At 45.1% G+C, this 3,230-nt stretch overlaps 1 pseudogene; it reads left to right on the top strand.

Moving 5' to 3' along the window:
- Positions 1,267-2,256, top strand: HCG4P11 (HLA complex group 4 pseudogene 11; annotated as a pseudogene).

Genomic DNA, 3,230 nt, shown 5'->3' with positions numbered 1-3,230 from the left:
GAGTCCCGCGGGGTGCGTGGGACTTTAGAACCTGGGAACTGCGGCGACACTGATTGGCTTCTCTAGAAACGCGACGCCCAATGGGAGTGAGAAATGGGGCCGCGTTATGAGTATCCAGGAAGAAGGACCTGACACGGGTTGGGAGAGAAAGAGAAACTCTGGGGAGATGGGGAATTCTCAATACTGAGCCTCCCAACCCCAGACACCGCCTCGGGGCCTGAGCCCTTGAGAGCCACTCCTGGGGCCCTGGGACTTTGCCCTCCCCCTCCCCCTCCCCCTCCTGTGCAGGGTGTGTCTCAATGTCTCCCTGAGTCTTCGCCCGGGGGCTGAGAAACCAGGGAGAAACCTTCGGCATGGACCCAGTCCATCTCCCTTCATTATTCATTCCGAAATCCCAGTCCCTTGATTGAACTTTCTGCCTCCCATTCCATACCTGGACTCCCCGGACTCTTTTGGAAGAAAATTCACCCCAAGGAGCTTGGTGCCAGACAATGAACTTGTCCTGAGAATGAAGGTGTAGAGACAGTTTCTTCTTCTTCCTTTTCTTCTTCTTCTTCTTCTTCTTCTTCTTCTTCTTCTTCTTCTTCTTCTTCTTCTTCTTCTTCTTCTTCTTCTTCTTCTTCTTCTTCTTCTTCTTCTTCTTCTTCCTCTTCCTCTTCCTCTTCCTCTTCCTCTCCTTCTCCTTCTCCTTCTCCTTCTCCTCCTTCTTTCCTCCTCCTCCTGCTCCTCCCCGCCCCCCTCCTCTTCTTCTCTGGAAAAGTTGTACCTGAGCATATGAAATAGGACAGAGACCAGTTTCTTTCTTTCTTTTTTTTTTTTATTAGCTGCAGTGAGTAGTAGAATCTTGGTAACCCCTGAATTATCAGGAACCTTTTTTTTTTTTTTTTTTTTTTTTTTTTTTTTTTTTTTTTTGAGACGGAGTCTCTCTCTGCCGCCCAGGCTGGAGTGCAGTGGCGCGATCTCGGCTCACTGCAAGCTCTGCGTCCCGGGTTCACGCCATTCTTCTGCTTCAGCCTCCCGAGTAGCTGAGACTACAGATGCCCGCCACCACGCCCGGCTAATTTTTTTGTAGAGACGGGTTTCACCGTGTTAGCCAGGATGGTCTCGATCTCCTGACCTCGTGATCCTCCCGCCTCGGCCTCCCAAAGTGCTGCGATTACAGGCATGAGCCACCGCGCCCGACCAATCAGGAATCTTATGTGTAAAAACTGTTACTTTGGCCCCTTGATATATAAATGTGTCTAAATGCATTACAGTTGTACAACTCTCAGAGCTCCTAAGTTTTGCTTTCCCAGACTATGTATCTGTGACTCTTGTTGTATTCTAAAATTACCTTCATTCCATAGCCCTGAGTTTCTGTGGGAGTCCAGGACATCTCCTGACAATACAAAGTAGCACAACGTGTGATTGTATATTGCAACCAGGAGCCAATACATTCATTCACCTCAAAGTTGCAAGTGTTCAACGCAGTCACAATGCCCCTCACCAGTGCTCATGCACTTCCTGTTTTTAGGAAGTATCCGCATCTAAGTGGTGTGCATGTTTTATTGGAACACTTAGTATTTTTTTAAACCTGAAAAAAAGCAGAAAAAGCAATTAATTTTTAGGCAGTCCCACATAAGGTGTTAAAGGCCAAATGCAAGGAACACCCTGCTAGGCTCTGTAGATGGATGTATTAAAAATTTATAAAACAATGTGTTTAAAGCTAAGAATTCTGCTGCTTTCAAATTCTGTCCCTCTGCTCCTTCTCCTCACCTCCTGCTTCTCCAGCCCTTCCCTCCGTCCCTCTCATCCCTCAGGCCCTCCTCTTCCCTTAGTCCCCACCACTCTGTCACTCCTGAATAGTGGCTCTAGCACTGTTCCATTACCTGCCACCTGAGTGTTCTCTCCACAGTGGTCCTGCTACTGTGAGTCAAAGTGTGTCGTTTCTTCACCTAAAACACTCCAGTGGCTCCACTTCGGTCTTGTGAAGCTTCTAGAATGTCAGGCACTTGAGCATATGAGGGCATACCTGGTTCAGCATAGGCACTAAATTAATTTTTGTTGTCTAGTTGAATGAAATATGATTGTATAAAAATTTAATCGCATCATGGAATATTATAAAATGAAAAATACTGGAAAAAGGAAATATTTTATTTTACTCATGTAGTGTGCTTATCAATTTATAAATTCATTCCATGTGTCTGTTGAGTCTGTGTATGACTTTTGTATGACTGCATAACAAATTACCACAAACACTGGCTTTAAACAACACCCATTTATTGTATTTATTTATTTATTTTTAGAGACATGGTCTCCCTCTGTTATCCACGGTGAAGTGCAGTGGCATGATCATGGTTCCCTGCAACCTCAAACTCCTGGCCTCTAGAGGTCCCCCTGCCTCAGTGTCTGGAGTACCTGGGACTACAGGCAAGTACCACCGTGCTCAGGTAAATTAAAAAAAAAAAAAATTCCTTTTTGTAGAGAGGAAGGTCTCCTCAAATTGCCCAGGCTAGTCTCACTCCTGGCTGCAAGTAATCCTCCTGTGTCATTCCCACAAACCTTAGGATTACAGGCATGAGCTACCATGGTTGACCAAACAACACTTATTTATTTATTTACAGTTCCTTAGTCAGAAATCTGAGCATGATTGGAGGGTTCTCTGTTTAGGGTTTCCCAAAACTGTGTTTTCATTTTGAGGGCCTCCTTCAGGCTTATACAGAGGCGACATAATTCAGTTTCTGCCAGTTGTAGGACTAAGGTTCCTGTTCCTTGCCTACTGTCAAGGTAGAGAGAGGCTGCTCTCAATTCCTGGTGCCCACCAGCATTCTTTGCCACACAGCCCCTTCATTTTTAGAATCCACATTGGAGGAACCCCCTCACACTGAATCCCTCTCACACTGTGAATCTCTCTGATCAGGAAGAACCCAGTCCTTTCAGGGGCTCGCCAGATGAGGACAGCCCGACCAGGGATAATCCCTGTCTTAAAGTCAATTGATTTAGGACCTTAATTATATATGCAAAAATCCCTTCAAGGCAGGACTTACATTATTGTTGGTTGAATAACTGGGGTCAGGTGAATGACCAAGGTTACACGTCTATCATGGGGGGGATGATAGAATCAGCCTAGCAAGGCTTGGGTCTTTCTTTTTTTTTTTTTTTTTTTTTTTTTTTTTTTTATTTTATTTTTTATTTTTATTGATCATTCTTGGGTGTTTCTCGCAGAGGGGGATTTGGCAGGGTCATAGGAC

This window comes from Homo sapiens, chromosome 6 (assembly GCF_000001405.40).
Source record: "Homo sapiens chromosome 6, GRCh38.p14 Primary Assembly".
Lineage (NCBI taxonomy): Eukaryota > Metazoa > Chordata > Mammalia > Primates > Hominidae > Homo > Homo sapiens.
The sequence above is the reverse complement of the archived record's forward strand: the minus strand, read 5'-3'. Positions and strand labels throughout refer to the sequence as shown.